This window comes from Homo sapiens, chromosome 21 (genome assembly GCF_000001405.40).
Source record: "Homo sapiens chromosome 21, GRCh38.p14 Primary Assembly".
Classification (NCBI taxonomy): Eukaryota; Metazoa; Chordata; class Mammalia; order Primates; family Hominidae; genus Homo; species Homo sapiens.
In genome coordinates this window covers 6,427,259-6,443,958 of record NC_000021.9, presented here as the reverse complement: position 1 = coordinate 6,443,958, position 16,700 = coordinate 6,427,259, and the positions used below count along the sequence as shown (strand labels likewise).

The 16,700-nt window shown below is 53.4% G+C and overlaps 1 long non-coding RNA gene across 2 annotated transcripts in view, besides 1 other annotated feature; it reads left to right on the top strand.

Moving 5' to 3' along the window:
* The window catches only part of LOC102724701 (uncharacterized), a 441,766-nt gene that overhangs the window by 226,773 nt on the left and 198,293 nt on the right, over nucleotides 1-16,700 (top strand). The gene's annotated exons all lie outside the window — the stretch shown is intronic.
* Nucleotides 1-16,700: part of a sequence alteration artifact (region identified as an assembly artifact by the Genome Reference Consortium. This region falsely duplicates sequence located at GRCh38 chr21:43035651-43187643) that runs on past the window's edge.

The window sequence follows — 16,700 nt, the reverse complement described above, 5'->3', positions numbered from 1 at the left end:
TCAGGATACTAAGCCCTTATCATAAGACTTGCAAATATTTTCTCCCATTCTGTAGGTTATCTTTTTACTTTTTTTTTTTTTGAGATGGAGTCTTGCTCTGTTGCCCAGGCTGGAGTGCAATGGTGTGATCTTGGCTCACTGCAACCTTCACCTCCTGGGTTCAAGCTATTCTCCTGCCTCAGCTTCCCAAGTAGCTGGGATTACAAGTTCCCAACACCACGCCCAGCTAATTTTTGTGTTTCGTATTTTTTATTGTTTTGAGACAGAGTCTTTCTCTGTCGCCCAGGCTGGAATGCAGTAGCGTGATCTCAGCTCACTGCAACCTCCGCCTCTCAGGTTCAAGCAGTTCTCCTGCCTCAGCCTCCCCAGGAGCTGGGATTACAGGCACGTACCACCATGCCTGGCTAATTTTTGTATTTTTACCAGAGACGGGGTTTCACAATGTTGGTCAGGCTGGTCTCAAACTCCTGACCTTGTGATCTGCCTGCCTCGGCCTCCCAAAGTGCTGGGATTACAGGTGTGAGCCACTGCGCCTCGTCTACTTTTTAATATTTTTAGTGGAGACAGGGTTTCACCATGTTGGCCAGGCTGGTCTTGAATTCCTGACCTCAAGTGATCTGCCCACCTCGGCCTCCCAAAGTGCTGGGATGACAGGTGTGAGCCACTGCGCCTCGTCTAATTTTTAATATTTTTAGTGGAGACAGGGTTTCACCATGTTGGCCAGGCTGGTCTCGAATTCCTGACCTCAAGTGATCTGCCCACCTCGGCCTCCCAAAGTGCTGGGATGACAGGTGTGAGCCACTGCGCCTCGTCTAATTTTTAATATTTTTAGTGGAGACAGGGTTTCACCATGTTGGCCAGGCTGGTCTTGAATTCCTGACCTCAAGTGATCTGCCCACCTCGGCCTCCCAAAGTGCTGGGGTGACAGGCGTGAGCCATTGGTCCCGGTCTCTTTACTTTCTTAATGTTCTTTGATGCACGGCAGTTTTTAGTTTTGGTGGAGTCAAAATTTGTTTGTTTGTTTTTTCCTGTTGCTCATGCTTTGGGTGTCATATCCATTGGCAAATCCAAGGTTCATGGAAATGTACCCCTATGTCTTCTTCTAAGATCTGTACAGATTTAGCTCATTGTTCGATTTTGAGTCAATTTTTGTAGATGGTTTAACATGGGAGTTTGTGGATGTCTGTCTGTCTCAGCGTCTCTTGTTGAAGAGACGATGCTCCCCCCATGGAATGGCCTGGCACCGTTGCTCACAGATGTATGGGCTCATTTCTAGACTCAGTGCTATTCCATTGATCTGTGTGTCTGGCCTTATGGTGGTACCACACTGTTTTGATTACTATAGTTCTGTAGTAAGTTTTGAAATTGAAAGTATGGATCCTACAGCTTTGTTCTTTTACAATGTTGTTTTGGAAATTATGATGTATCCTGATGTATTTGTCCTTATGTTTTTGTGTGTGAAATTCTTTGAGCTTATTGGATCCCAGCACGTGGCAAGTAAGAGTTCCAAAAAGAAAACAAGGAAGGATCTCAGTAATGAAGTAATTCACAAAACTGCCCCAGAACTCAAAGACATGACTTTGCAGACCGAGAGGCCCACCCAGTGCCCAGCAAAATGGACCGCGAAAGATCTACACAGTGAACATCACTGTGAAATGTGAGGTCACTCAAGACATGAGAAGTCTAAAACACTCCCAAAAAAGGATGAAAAGCCCAGCTCACACAGGGAGGCTTGGGATGAGAAAGGCATCAACTTCAGCCTCCAGCACACATGGAAACCAGGAGATGAACCCTGACGGAATTCAGAAGAGGAAGGAATGCAGGCTGGAAGCCCTGAGGCCAGCACCCTCTCCCTTAGCACCGGAGGCAGGAGACCCACTTCCATCATGCAGGGCAGGCTTTCTGCCCAGGAACACACGCCACCAAAAGGAGGGAATGAAAACAGGAGAGGAAATGGTGTCACAGGAGGTCCCAGGGCCACTGTGAGTCCAGCAGCAGTAGGACAGAGGAGACCTAGGCGAGAAGATTGCTTGAGGCCAGGAGTTCGAGACCAGCCTGGGCAACACAGTGAGACCCTGTCTCTACAAGAAAAAAGAAAGGAAAACAACTCCTCAGGAGGCTGAGGCATTAGGATCACTTGGGCCCAGGAGTTGGAGGCTGCAGTGAGCCATGATTGCACTACTGCATTCTAGCCTGGATGACTCAGTGATACCCTGTCTCAAAAAAAAAAAAAAAAAAGACAGGAGTGATGCTTCAGGGGAGATAAGGAAATCAAGAGGTCGCCAGAGTGCTGTGAGCCTATCAAGAGATCTGCATGCCTGGTGGAGAGTTGGGAGTTGCATCAGAACCTAGAAAACAAAGAGGCCGGGCACGGTGGCTCATGCCTGTAATCCCAGCACTTTGGGAGGCCAAAGCAGACACACTTTGGGAGGACTCGACTCAACACACACACTTGAGTCCAGGAGTTCAGGACCTCATCTCTATTAAAAATAGCTGGGCATGGTGGTGGGTGCCTGTGGTCCCAGCTACTTGGGAGGCTGAGGCAGGAGGATTGATGGAGCCAGGGAGATTGAGGCTGCGGTGAGCTGTGATTATACCACTGCACTCCAGCCTGGGTGACAGAGCAAGACCTTGTCTCAAAAAAAGGGGAGAAAATATTGGAGCTCTGTAAGAAATGTAATTACATAACATGACTAGGCTAGGAATAATAGTTGCTTCATCATAATCGTGTAAACACTGGATATTAATCTATTCTCAATTATAAAACTGTCCTGAAGGAATCCGAGAATGGAATTATATTTCCTACTAGTGGGGAGGAGCATGGGAGAGGAAGAATCTTCATTTTTCCACAGAAGGATGTTGATAGATAACATCTATACTTACAAAAAGAAAAAAGCAGCTGGGCGCAGTGGCTCACACCTATAATCCCAGCATTTTGGGAGGCCAAGATGGGTGGATTGTTTGAGCTCAGGAGTTCAAGACCAGCGTGGACAACATGAGGAAACACCGTATCTACTAAAAATACGAAAATTAGCCAGGCGTGGCAGTGTGCCCTGTAGTCCTAGCTACTTGCGAGGCTGAGGTGGGAAAATTGCGTAAGTTTAGGAGGTCGACACTACAGTGAGCCGAGATTGCATCACCGTGCTCCAGCCTAGGTGACAGAGCCAGACCCTGTCTCAAAAAAAAAAAAAAAAAAAAAAAAAAGGAAGGAAGGAAGAAAAGGAGGGAGACAGGAAAGGAGCACAAGCAAGTTTCTGGACATATGGATGCAAGTAAGTTTATAGGTGAGCGCCACTCCAGCCTGACTGGCAGACGGAGACCCTGTCCGCCCCTCCCCTCTAAAAACAGTAGAGCTCTGGTGAGCTGAACAGTGGTCCTTCAAAGCTACCAGGCCCTAATCTCTGAAACCTGTGAATGGGCCCTCTTTGGAAAAAGAGTCCAGCAGGTGTGAAGCTGAGGCTCCTGAGATGCAGAGACACTCCTGGATCATCCAGGTGGGCCCTAAATGCCCTCGAGCTTCCCCTTCGGTTTTCCCCGTGTGGCCCAGCGTGAGTCCGCCAGGGCTGCTGTAGCAAAGGGCCCCACAGTGGGTGCTTCGACAACTTACTGTCTCACAGACTTGGAGGCCAGAAGTCCAGGGTCAAGGTGTTGGCAGGGATGGTTCCATCAACCCTGAATAATGAGATTCATAAAATACAGTGAAGTCCAGGGTTTATTCAAGCTTAAAGCTTGGGAACCATCACTCGGGAAACAGACTCGAAAAGAATGGGCCAGCGCTCCAGAGTGGGAAGGGAAGGTCTCGCTTACATAGAGGCAGAGACAAGAGAAGTCTGACAGGGTTGCAACGTTTTCCGTACAAGGTAGTGCATAGCTTATAGTGTTTCTTTTTTACGAGACAGGGTCTCGCACTTTGCAGTGGTGTGGACATGGCTCACTGGGGCCTTGATCTGGGCTCAAGTGATCCTCCTGCCTCAGTTTCTTGAATCACTGGGACCACAGGTGTACACCACCACACCAGCTAATTTTTGTAGAGACAGGGTTTTACATGTTGCCTAGGCTGGTCTCTAACTCCTGGGCTCAAGTGATCCTCCTGCCTTGGCCTCCCAAAGTGCTGGGATTACAGGCGTGAGCCACTGCACCCAGCGAGTTTGAACTCTTTAATGCCACAGCTCCTTCTGGGGCTGAGGGAACCTCCGTCCCAGGCCTCTCCGGCTTCTGCGGGTTGCTGGCCCTGCTTGGTGGTCCTTAGCTTGGAGAAGCACCCCCTTGTTCTCCACTTTCATCCTAGCAGGGCATTCTCCCTCCGCATCTGCATCCACATTACCCTTTGTGTAAGGACACCAGTCACTGGGTTAGGGTCTAATGGCCTCATTTAGCTTTAATCACCTCTTTAAAGACCCTGTCTCCAAATAAGGTTATATTCTGAGGTAGTGGGGGTTAGGTCTGCAACATGTCAGTTTTGAGGGGACACAATCTAGCCCATAGCACTCCCCACCCCCAACACACACACACCGTGCACAGAGTGCCTGTTAGGCCGGATGTGATGGCTCACGCCTGTAATCCTAGCACTTTGGGAGGCCGAGGCAGGTGGATCACCTGAGTCAGGAGTTCGAGACCAGCCTGGCCAACATGGAGTGCCTGTTGACGAGCACCTCCCAGCCTTGGCACTTGCTGGACGAGCCTGGAAAAAAGCCACAACCCTGGACCCAGTTTGATCTGGGTTTGAATCCAAACTCTGCCACTTATCAGTTGGGGGTTCTTGGGCAATATGTCCCAATTTCCATGTCTACAAAATGGAGATAAGATCTAGACATGGAGATAAGATCTACCTCATGCAGACGAATGGAGAAGCAAAATGTGGACTATCCGGGCAACGGACAATGATTCAGCTTAAAAAGGAATGAAACCACGCCACGTGCTACAACAGCACAAACCCTGCATGACCCCACGAATCCTGCGTGACCCCACTTATGTAAAGAATCTAGAACAGCTGAACTCAGAGAGGCAACGAGAACAGTGGTTGCCAGGGGCTGAGGAGGGGGATGAGGAATCATTGTTGGCTGAGAACAGTTTCAGTTCGGGAAAGTGAGAAAGTTCTGGAGATGGATGGTGGTGATGGTTACACAACATGAACGTACTTAACCCTACTCAACTATGCATTTACAAATGGTTAACATGGGGCCGGGCGCGGCTGCTCACGCCTGGAATCCCAGCACTTTGGGAGGCCGAGGTGGGCGGATCACAAGGTCAGGAGATCGAGACCATGCTGGCTAACACGATGAAACCCCATCTCTACTAAAAATAGAAAAAAATTAGCTGGGCGTGGTGGCGGGCGCTTGTAGTCCCAGCTACTCCAGAGGCTGAGGCAGGAGAATGGCGTGAACCCAGGAGGCAGAGCTTGCAGTGAGCCGAGATCCCGCCACTGCACTCCAGCCTGGGCGACAGAGTGAGACTCCGTCTCAAAAAAAAAAAAATGGTTAAGATGGTACATTTTACCACAGTGCGTAGGTGGGGGCAGCCCTCACTGAAGACGTGGTATCTGAGCGGAGGCTGGGCAGAGGCTCAGGGCTGCCCAGCGGGCCCTGGGGAAAAGCATGCCTGGCTGAAGGCACAGGTGGGCAAAGGCCTGAGTCAGGAGTGTGGCTGGTGCAGTCCAGGTGCAGGTGGGAGGGCTGGGGAGGTGTGGAGGGTGAGGATGGGGGTGCAGGGGCCTGCTGAGGACGGAGGGGAGCAGATCAGACTGCAGATGGGGGTGAGGGCTGCTCTTTGTACAGGATCTGCTCGTCCTGCCCAGCCAGGAACACTGAAAACAGAGGGGAGCTGAGAAGTCCACACGGGGTGCTGCACGTGCCCATCCAGGCGTAGACTCTGAGGGCATGGAGGCATGGAGTTGTGCCGTTCACAACCTGCACACCTGTCCACAGCAGACCCGACTCCAGATGGGTGGCTGTTCATATGTCCTCCACAAACCTCTGCAGCTGCTTATGACACCTCTTGGCTGTGGCTCATGAAACGATGACTGCAGCCCCACCCTGAAGGATCCAGCCAGCCAGCCAGCCAGCTGTAGCAGCTGTGAGGGGGCAGGTCTTGGTGCCCAGGGCTTTCCTAATGACCAAGCCTGGCCAGCTTCATGTTCTTGGTCTCTGGGCATCTCAGCAATGGCTTGAATTATGCCCTGGCATCAAGCTACCTAAAGGATGGAGACAGAGCCGCTGTGGACACGAACAAAGGCTTTTCTCCGCAGGTTGGTGGCATCTGTGCTGGGCTGTAGTGCTGGCCTGGGAGGTCCCCAACTCTCGGGCCCCCATGACGGTGTTGTTCCTGCAGGTCTGCTGGGGGAGGACACTGGCAGGGAGGCAGGTGGGAGGAGGAGAGGGCAGGGCTTCCCAGAGCGACTGGGAAGGCACTCCCGCTACAGGGCCCCACGGGAGCCTCCGGCTTTCCCCGCACCCAACTCTCCTCAGGCACTTGGTTTTCTGCCAGTCTCTGGAGAGTAGGCTTTGCTTAGGGCCAGTGGAAAAGTTCCTGTTTCCCACTATGCAGCCAAGTGAGCCAGGGCAGGCCAGCGGGTAGAGGAAGGGGATAGGCATGACCTCTCCTGAACGGGTTTCAAAAGCAAGTCAGTCAATCATAGGCCAGAGGCGTGGAAACTTCTTGGCAGAAACATTTCCTCTTCCAGGAAACGGCACTTGGTGTTCTCAGGGTGCCCGGGGCTAGGGTGCCAGCATGCTGCCTGGGGGTGGGGGTGGAGAGGGTTTGGAGTTGAGGTAACCACAGAGCCTTCCTGAACCAGAAGCCCTTGTGGGCCTCGGAGGCTGGCGGGGCCCCTACATAGCACCTGCAGAGGGCAGGGGTATGCGTCAGGAACTGAAGGGGGAGTTTGTGCGGGATGCAGAGGAGCCCCAAGCAGGGAGCTGTGGGGGTCTCTGCGGCTCCAGGGAGTGATGATATTCGGGGAGCCCCTAGGAACTTGCTGATCAGGGAGGCAGGAGAGAAGCCAGGAGAGGGGCACAGTGAGTGAGCCTCAGGGAGGGCAGGGCACAGCCCCATCCACCCCAGTGTGGGGTGGCACAAACAGCTGAGGCTCCGGAGCTGTAGCATTGACAACTCAATCTATTTGAGGCCACACTAAAAACCCCAAACACCCAAATTCTCAAAAACGATCTTCAAGAGTGACGCTAAATGCCAACTGTCCCTGCTGCAGCAGTCTCAGGCTGCCACCTCCCCTGGCTGTCTGCAAGGGTCTCACGCTCCGTCACAATCGGAGTGAGCTGGGCCCTGGGCTCCATGCAAAATGCAGGGGAAGTGGCCAAGGCTAGTCATTCTCAATGCAGTCAAAATGGTCATTGTTACGGAAGTGTCCTGAGAGTCACAATTCCGCACAGTCAGCAGGTACACACCTGTGCATGGGGCTGCTCACCCATCGGGGCACCATAATGTCTGTTTGCTGCCCGGCAGGCTCTGGAGCCGCTGGTGAGCGCACAGACACAGCCCCTCTCCGGGGCAGGCACTCACAGCAGCCACAAGCACCGCCACCTCGTGGCCTGTGAGTCCTCCCCGGAGGCCAAGCTGTGGTTCAGCTGGTTCTGTCTCCTGCAGGAGCACCCTGGCTGGCTCAGGACTTCCTAGCCGGGGACACATGCCCGTGACGTAGGGCCTGGGTCAGCCCCTGGGTCGGGGCGCTAATGCTCTGGACCCACTGAGCCCCCAGCTGTGGAGGTCTTCACTGTCTCCTGACGGATGTTCTCACAGCAGAGGCCACAACATTGGAGGACAGAGGAGCTTTACAGGCCAGCAGGAGTTGCTCATAGCTGCGTCACCAAACCCTTGACCATGAGAAGAAAGTATGGGGGGCTTGCCATGGATGGGATGGGGACTGCAGAGAGGCTGGCTCAGCTGTGCAGATCGGTCCCCATTAGGGTCAAAATTGCAGGCTCCCTGGGCCCACGCCCAGGAGCACACACCTGGCCCTCATGAGGCCAGCATCAATGGTCAAGATGGGCCAGGAGTGGTCTGTGGGCTATCTCCTCAGGATTTTTAAAGGTTCCCTACATTATTTTTTTATTTTTATTTATTTAACATTATTATTATTATTTTGAGATGGAGTCTTGCTTTGTCACCCAGGCTGGAGGCACGATCTCAGCTCACTGCAACCTCCACCTCCCGGGTTCAAGCGATTCTCCTGCCTCAGCCTCCCGAGTCGCTGGGACTACAGGCATGCACCACCATGCCTGGCTAATTTTTGTATTTTTAAAAAAGATGGGGGTTTCACCATGCTGGCCAGGCTGGTCTCGAACTCCAGACCTTGTGACCGCCTGCCTCAGCCTCCCAAAGTGGGATTACAGGCGTGATTACAGGCGTGAGCCACCGTGCCCAGCTACATTATTTTTTAAGTTTAGAAATAACGTAGAATTTATGTAACGTGGAATAACAACAAAGACATGTCAGCTAGTCTTGATTTAGTGAATAAAATAGAGAATCGCATCTCACCGAACACGTATTGACTTAACTAAAGGTTTAAGACTTCACAGACACAGGAGGATGACAGGAGCGTGTGAACAGATGGGCTCGAACAGACGCTGAGCTGCAAGCAGACACCACAGCACCAAGAGATGGGGAAGCACTGCAAACTGGGAGAGAAAATGCCGTTGTGTTACGAGATCTTCGGGCTGTCGTTTTTCTGGCCAAAACCTCTGTGGCTGGGGCATCTTTGCTCAGGCCTGCTGGGCTCATCTCACCCACTTGGCCTGGCAGGCTGCACTGGGCTCACACTACAGGCCTGGGTCCCATGCCTACCAAGGGCGAGTCAGGCGTGGAATGGCAGGGCGTGTTTGAGCGTGCGTGGGGTCTGGCCACTGCACACAGTCAGACATGCCAGCTGCTTCAGCAGGGCAAGCAGCTATAGGTGCCGGCTCCCTGTGAGGCTTCGGCCAGACCAAGCACACTGCAAGCAGCTTCCACAGCTGGCACTGGGGAACACGGTGGCACCCAAAAGTTTAGAGACACCAGGAACCACAGGGCCCCAAAGAAGGAATCACAGCCCTGGCTTGGGGAGCTCCCAGGTCTGGGTTCCCCAAAGGGCTGCAGCTCTTCTCTCCTTCACTTCACCTGTAATGTGGCAAGCAAAGGGTACATCTCAGCCCTGTTTATGCTACAGCTCTTTTAGCCTCGCCATTTGGCAGGTCCTGAGTTCTTGTCCAAGAAGAATGAGGTAAGCAGACAAGTGGAGAGTGAGCCAGATGAAGAGGAGCTTTATTGAGTGACAGAACAGCTCTGAGGAAACCCACAGGGGGGCAGCTCCTTTCTGCAGCCAGGGTGTCCCAACGTCTGTTCAGCTCCTAGCAGAAAGGGTTAGGCAAGTCGTCCCAACAAGTGTTCAGCTATCAGTAGAGAGGGTAGCTCCTCTCTGCAGCTGGTTGTCCCATCATCTCCCTGTCATCTTTCCATCATCTCTGCAGCTTTCAGCAAAGAGGGGGCCCTAGAGTGGGTTGCTCCTGTCTGCAGGTGGTCATCCCAACATTTGCCCAGCTCTGGCTGAGCCTGGGGCTTTTATGGGCCTCAAAGGGGAGGAAGTGCATGCTGTGCCAACTGGTCCAAGGGTGGCCATGGGCAGGCCCGAAAAAGGCACCATAAGTTCCCACTCCAGTCCACAGGACTGGCAGCCTGGCCCCCAGCCTTCAAGCCCTTCTTGGCCTGAAGGTGGGGCCTCACCAAGAACCTGCCCCCTTCCACCCAGGAACCTGTCTGCCTCCTGCTGCCATTCATGGTGCCCGGGCTGTAGGTGTCAAGGGTGCCTGCAGGCCAGCAGCAAGCTGCCGTCAGCCCCCACTTGGCTTTCCTCCTAATGCTTATCAGTGCCCAAAGTCCAGAGGGGGCCGAGGTGGCAAGGGGCTGGCGTGTCAGCATTGCCCCAAGCGTGTGCACACCCAGTCAGGCTATGACAGCACCTGAACGTAGCTCCAACTTTGCTCCAAAGACAGCCCGCTGCTGCCATCAGCAGGACCAATCAGTCCCCTACCCACCAGAGGCAAGGAACTAGCAGGCACTGCTGTGCCAGGCCTGTGAGGCAGCAGGGTCGTGAGTCCAGGCTGGATTCCATGCAGAGACTCTGCCATGTGGGGCCATGGGGTTTACTTGGATCCCATTCAAATCATTCAGGCCCTGACTGCTCAGCTTCAGGGGAGCCAGGCCCGCTCCTTCTCCTTACATACTTGTCTAATCTTGCCAAAGCTCTCGAGGTGGGGGAAGGAGGAAACCCAGGGTCACGGATGTCGATCTACTCAGCATCCATCCCCTTCTTCATTCCCGACAGTTCAGGTCTCCTTGCCTCTTCCCACAGCCACGATGATGGGAGGGCAGGAGCAGGGACTAGGGATTGACCTCAGTTGACAGAAGCCAATGTGTACATGCCATTCCCTGGCCAGTCACTAGTCTGGGTGGGCATGTGACCTCAGCAGTCCACACAGGGTGGGTCCCGGGGCTCTGCAGAGAGGGCTGGGAGCAACAGCATCCCCTGGTGTGGCCCTGGCTGCTATGGTGGCATCCCATGGCCACAGAGACGCCAGAGAACCAACGCCCCGGGGCGGAAGCCGGGTGCTGGGGCCTCTTGTTCGCTGCTGAAAGCATCTGGGCTGATTCACACGACCCCCTCCGATCCTGGAGAAACAGACCTTGGCAGAGGGAGCAGGAAGAATCGCTGAAAGGTGGTGGAAACAGATACATTCCTGAAAGCTCAGGCGGGGGGCTGGTTTCCAGAAGGGATCATTGAAAGTGCCAATGCTTACAAAAACCTACACGCAAGAGAGTGACAGCAGGAGCCAGGCGAAGGATGATGTCAAATAAAAGGACAGGCTGTCAGCAAGAGACTGCCGTGCCCAGTGACTTCACCCTAGTGCTGTGAATTTCACTAAGCTCAGAACTACTGTCTTGGTCCGAGCCCAAGTTCATATTTGTGCTATTTGTTTAAAAATGTAAAAAAGGATTGTGAGCAAATGTCTAGCAAAAACAGCAGTGCAAGAAGACATGCAACCCGCCTAAGACAACACATGGCTTCAAAGGCTTGGCAGGCACCCTCACAGGGACACAGGTGCAGCTCATTACAGGCCACCATTTAAGTTATTTAAGTCCTAAAGACTGCATCTGAGGAACACTGGGTTTCTAATCCTTTCTTTGAGTACTTCAGTGCAGAGCTAGTCTATTAGTGGCTTTACAATTCAGGATTTTTGTGGGTTTTTGCGAGATAAGGTCTGGTGCTGTTGCCCAGGCTGGAGTGCAGTGGCACGACCTTGGGTCACTGCAACCTCCACCTCCTGGGCTCGAGTGATCCTACCATCTCAGCCTCCCAAGTATCTGGGACTACAGGCATGCACCACCATGCCAGCTAATTTTTGTATTTTTGGTATAGATGGAGTTTTGCCATGTTGGCCAGGCTGGTCTTAAACTCCTGAGGTCAAGTGATCCACCTGCCTTGGCCTCCCAAAGTGTTGGGATTACAGGCTTAAGCCACTATGCCCGGCCACGATTCAGTCTTATTAAATCAACCAGTTGTCTGTGATGTGGCCCAAAGGTCAGGCTTTTCCTTTCCCGTGCTGAGAGCTGCCCTGTGTCTGGGCATCTTCCTCACCAGATAAGGAGTGGCTCGGGCGCCGCTGGGCCTTTTGCAACCTGCAGCACAGCCCTGGTGGTGGTGGTGGGCCCGGAGTAGGCAGCGAGCCTGCTACTCACCCACCAGGATAGGCACTGGACAGGCCCTGTGGAGTGGCAGGCACCCCTGTCCAGTGTTCAGCCTCTTCCTCTGCAGGGGCTGTCCCTGCCTGTCAGACAGTGAGTCCAGGGATGCCCTGGACCACCACATCCTCGACAGCCCTCAGCTCAAGGGCATATCCGCTGGCTTCTCCCGCCAGGAAGGACAGTGAGGGCTTGGTGGGGCTCAGATGGAGGCTAGCATTCTTTTTAACTAATGAGCGCTTAATTGAAGCAAGTACTGGCACCGAAATAACATTTAAAAAGTGTTCTCTTCGGTGGCTCACACCTGTAATCCCAGCACTTTGGGAGGCCTAGGCAGGCGGATCACCTGAGGTCAGGGGTTCAAGACCAGCCTGGCCAATATGGTGAAACCCCCCGTCTCTACTAAAAATATAAAACTTAGCTGGGTGTGGTGGCACACGCCTGTAATCCCAGATACTTGGGAGGCTGAGGCAGGAGAACTGCTTGAACCCAGGAGGCGGAGGTTGCAGTGAGCCGAGATTGTGCCACTGTACTTCAGCCTGGGGACAGAGCAAGACTCTGTTTAAAAAAAAAAAAAAAAAAGAGTTAGCTTAACATATTTGATTAAAGCATCATTTTAGAAATGTGAACCGTGTGCTCGCTCAGTGTCTCCTTAGGCTGCAGCTAGCAAGGTTGTGCAGGTGACTCAGGACAGCTCCATCAAAGCTTTGGGAAGCTGTCAGAGGGAAGTCTGAACTGAGAGAGAACGACTCAAAGACGCCTCAGAGAGCCTGAGTGGGCAGCTCCTGCCCGCAACCCCACACCTGGGGCACAGCCCTCTCTGTTGGCTCACACCAAGGTGGCGTTGGCGTCGCGTGAAGAGGCCCGGGGCAGCCCACTCCCTTCCAAGCTCCCCCTAAACTTTGCTTCTTTATGGGTCTAACACCCCCCGCTCAGTGACTGGATCCAGAGACGGCATCGCCGGCGGGCAGCGTGGGTCCATGGCAGGCCCCAGGAAGGCTGGTGCAGGGCTGACATGGTCCAGCACATGCCCAGCACACGACGGGCATGGCCCATGCCAAGGTCCAATGTGACATGACAGAGAACCGGCCACAGAGTCCCGCCTCAGGCACTAAGCCTGTTTAACGACAACCCCCAGAAAAATGGCTTCAGACAGTGGCAACATTTATTTTGCTCACACATCTGTATCTGGAGCGGGGCTCACAGGGGCGGCTGGGCTCTGCTCTGCTCTGCTCATCAGTTGGGGTGGCTCGAGGCACCTGTAGGCTCACTTGTGTGTAGCTGGTGGTCAACGCGGCTGGCAGACAGCACACCTGCATGGCCTATCCCCGCGGCCTGGGCTTCCTTCCAACATGGCACCCGGGCCAAGCCTGAGCCCCCTCAACCCGTCAGTCACATGGCAATTACCGCCCCAGCAGGCCACATAAACCTCCCCAGGGTCAAGAGAGGGGGATCCCCTGGATAGGCAAAATTCCAGAGGGGGACAGGGGACTGGAGATGTCATTCCTGCCATAAGACCCTGGACACTGCCCGAGAGAATCCTTCCATACAGAGAATCAGGAATCAGAACAGCTTTACGTTGCTCAAGGTAAAAGGCAGTGCCTTCAACTCTGAGTAAAAACCATTTCCAAACCCGACTGTTCCCCCTTCCTCATTCCCGTTTCTGTTGAACTCTCACACCATGCACAGAGCTCTGTGTGCACTCTGGAGCGCAGGGCAAAGGCCTCCCCGCCCACCCTGAGTTTGGCAGCTGCCAGAGGGCAGGAAAGGAGAAAACAGGGGATGGGGAACCTGCAGCCTCTTCCCTCCTTCTACCAGGTACAGAGCCACCGGGGAGAGGCAGGAAACATTTTCAACTCAAGGCCTGCCCTGGCTCACACACTCTCCCGCCCAAGCCACTGTCCAGGTATAAGGCAGAGTTTGGCAGCAGGAGCAGGAGTGGGCACGAGCCCTGCACCCCAAGGGTATAGGACCCACCTGCGACGGAGGCTGGGCCAGGAGCACGCCAAGGAGCCGGAAGCAAGCAGCAGTAGCCCTCTGCCAGGGAGGGCAGGAGCAGACACCAGGCACAGCACAGCATCCAAGGCCTGCTGGCATCTAAGAAGGGGCGGGGCCACTCTGGCACCCACACCATGCACAGGCTGGCTATGGCCACTGCTGGAAGAATCGGAAGCCTGTGGTGCCTGCAGGGATGAAGGCAGCCCCAAGCCCACAGCCCGCTCACCTGGTGACCACACCCACCCAGGGCCTGTCTGAAGGGGAGTGCCTGTTTCTGGGCATGAGGACTATTTATCTTGGTCTCCACTGTTCTACAAAAAAACCCCGGCATTCAATAAACTATGAGAGAAACAACAGGCAATCCACTGCCACGAAATAAAGCTATTGACAGAAGTAGACCCAAGCATGTCCTGTGCCAACTGTCACATAGCCACACCCCCACGACACGACCAGCAGCTCACCCCGTTGCCCTCCACAGGGGTGTCCACGCCGCTTCTGTAACCCCTGCCGCCACAGGCGAGGCTGCAGTGAGTGTGTTCCCCTCCATGCAGGTGTCCACGCTTCTTCTGTAACCCCTGCCGCCACAGGCGAGGCTGCAGTGAGCGTCTCTGCACAGGTCTGTGCTACCCACGATGTTTCAGCCAACAACGGACTGAGCAGACCAAGGAGGTCCCGTGAGGTTACAACAGGAGCTGAGAAGTCCCTGTCCTCATAACATGTAGCACAGTGTATCTCCCGTGTTTGTGGTGCTGCCAGTGCACGTAAGTACATACGGTAACATCCTAGGCTTCCATGCTCACTCGCCCTCACTCCCTGAGGCATCCGAGCAGCTCCTGGTAAGTGCCCGGTGCTATTTTTAACACTTTAGACTGTATTTTTACTGTACCTTTGTTTAGCATTTTTTTTTCAGAGGGGGTCTGGCTCTGTCGCCCAGGCTGGCATGCAGTGGTGTAATCACAGCTCACTGAAACCTTTCCCTCCTGAGTCCAAGACATCTTCCCACCTCAGCCTCTGAGTAGCTGGGGCTACAGGCATGAGCCACCATGCTTGGCTAATTTTTACATTTTTTTGTAGAGATGAAGTCTTACTCTATTGCCCAGGCCGCTCTTGAGCTCCTCAGCGTAAGTGATCTGCCTGCCCCAGCATCCCAGAGTGCTGGGATTACACGCGTGAGCCACAGTACCCGGCCAATTTAGCTGTTTAGACACACAAATCCTTACATTATGTTACGATTGCCCAGGGTAGTCAGCAGGGTCACGTGCCGCACAGGCCCATGGCTGGGAGCAATGGGCTAAGCCGCACAGGCTGGGTGTACAGTGAGCTGTGTGAGTGCGCTGTGATGTTCCTACGGGATGGAGTCCCCTACAGAGGCATTTCTCAGAGCACAGCCCATTGTTAAGTGACACATGACTGTCCTGTCAGGTTCATTCCAGAATGGCTGGCCCCGTGATATTCCCGCCAGCACCACGCAAGTTCCCGTTTCTGCAGATCCCCAATCCCAGCTTCCTCATTGCGGCCGGCAGACGGGGCGGCACGCCCCCGGGCTCCAGCTCACACTCCCTGGGCGTGGCGAGGCCGTGCAGTCTTCACGTGCTGCTTGGTCATCTGGTCTCCTTTCAATGAACTATTAATATCCGCTGTCATGGTTCTAGAGACTTCTAGTTGGTTACCTGCTGAGTTGCAGGAATCCCCCTAACACTGGCTCCTTGCCGGCTTTATCCATTAAAAAGAAGGAACGAGGAAAGTGCTCCTCTCAGTCACTACCTGTTAATGGTCCTCTGTGTCCTCCAATGCACAGAAAAACTGAATTTTGATCTGGCCAAATCACCCATATTTTGCCTTAGGATTTATGCCTTCGAGGTCTCAAAATAAGGGCTTCTTCCCCAAGGGAACAAAGATAAGCTCCCGTATCATCTTCCAGTGGCTCACGGCCATGCCCAGAACCCATGGCGCCTGCCTCTGCTCTCCCCTCTCCTCTTCACTGCTGTCTCCCAGGCCATCAGTCCCTCCCGGCTGCCCAGCCCCATGTCCTCCTGCCATCTACCCTCCCACAGCAACCCACACTCTCACGGCTTCTGCTGCGGGAAGCGCTCCTTCCTGGGATTCCCTGGCACAGTTCAGATGAGTATTTCTCCACCTTCGCTGGCTGCTCTCCTCTAGCTCCACGGTCTCTATGACCCAGGTCTACACTAACACACAAGACAATGTAAACTGTTAAGGGTTTCACAACTTATTTCTGACATGGATTGCTGTGTTAAGATAATATGAAAGAAAACTCAGTGAATATAAAGTAAAATATTTTAAAATATAACTGATTTTTCTACAGGCCATTTTCTAAAAATGTCTAAGCAACTAAAGCTGTCATTAAAATGTCTCTTTTCTTTCTTTTTTTTTTTTTTTTTGAGACGGAGTCTCGCTCTGTCGCCCAGGCTGGAGTGCAGTGGTGTGAACTTGGCTCACCACAACTTCGGTCTCACGGGTTCGTGGAATTCTCCTGCCTCAGCCTCCCGGGTAGCCGGGACTACAGGCATGCACCACCATGCCCGGCTAATTTTTTATATTTTTAGTAGAGACGGGGTTTCACCATACTGGCCAGGCTGGTCTGGAACTCCTGACCTTGTGATCTACTGGCCTCGGCCTCCCAAAGTGCTGGGATTACAGGTGTGAGCCACTGCGCCCAGCCTAAAATGTTTCTTTTGAAAGATGCTGGAATAAAAGAATTCCTTATTTATTTATTTATTTATTTATTTTGGGACAGAGCCTTGCTCTGTCGCCCAGACTGCAGTGAAGTGGCGTGGTCTCGGCTCACTATAATCTCCGCCTCCTGGGTTCAAGCGATTCTCCTGCCTGAGCTTCCCGAATAGCTGGGATTTCAGGCACCCACCACCATGCCCGACTAATTTTTTTATTTTTAGTAGAGACCAGGTTTCTCCGTGATGGCCAGGCTGGTCTCAAACTCCTGACCTCAGGTGATC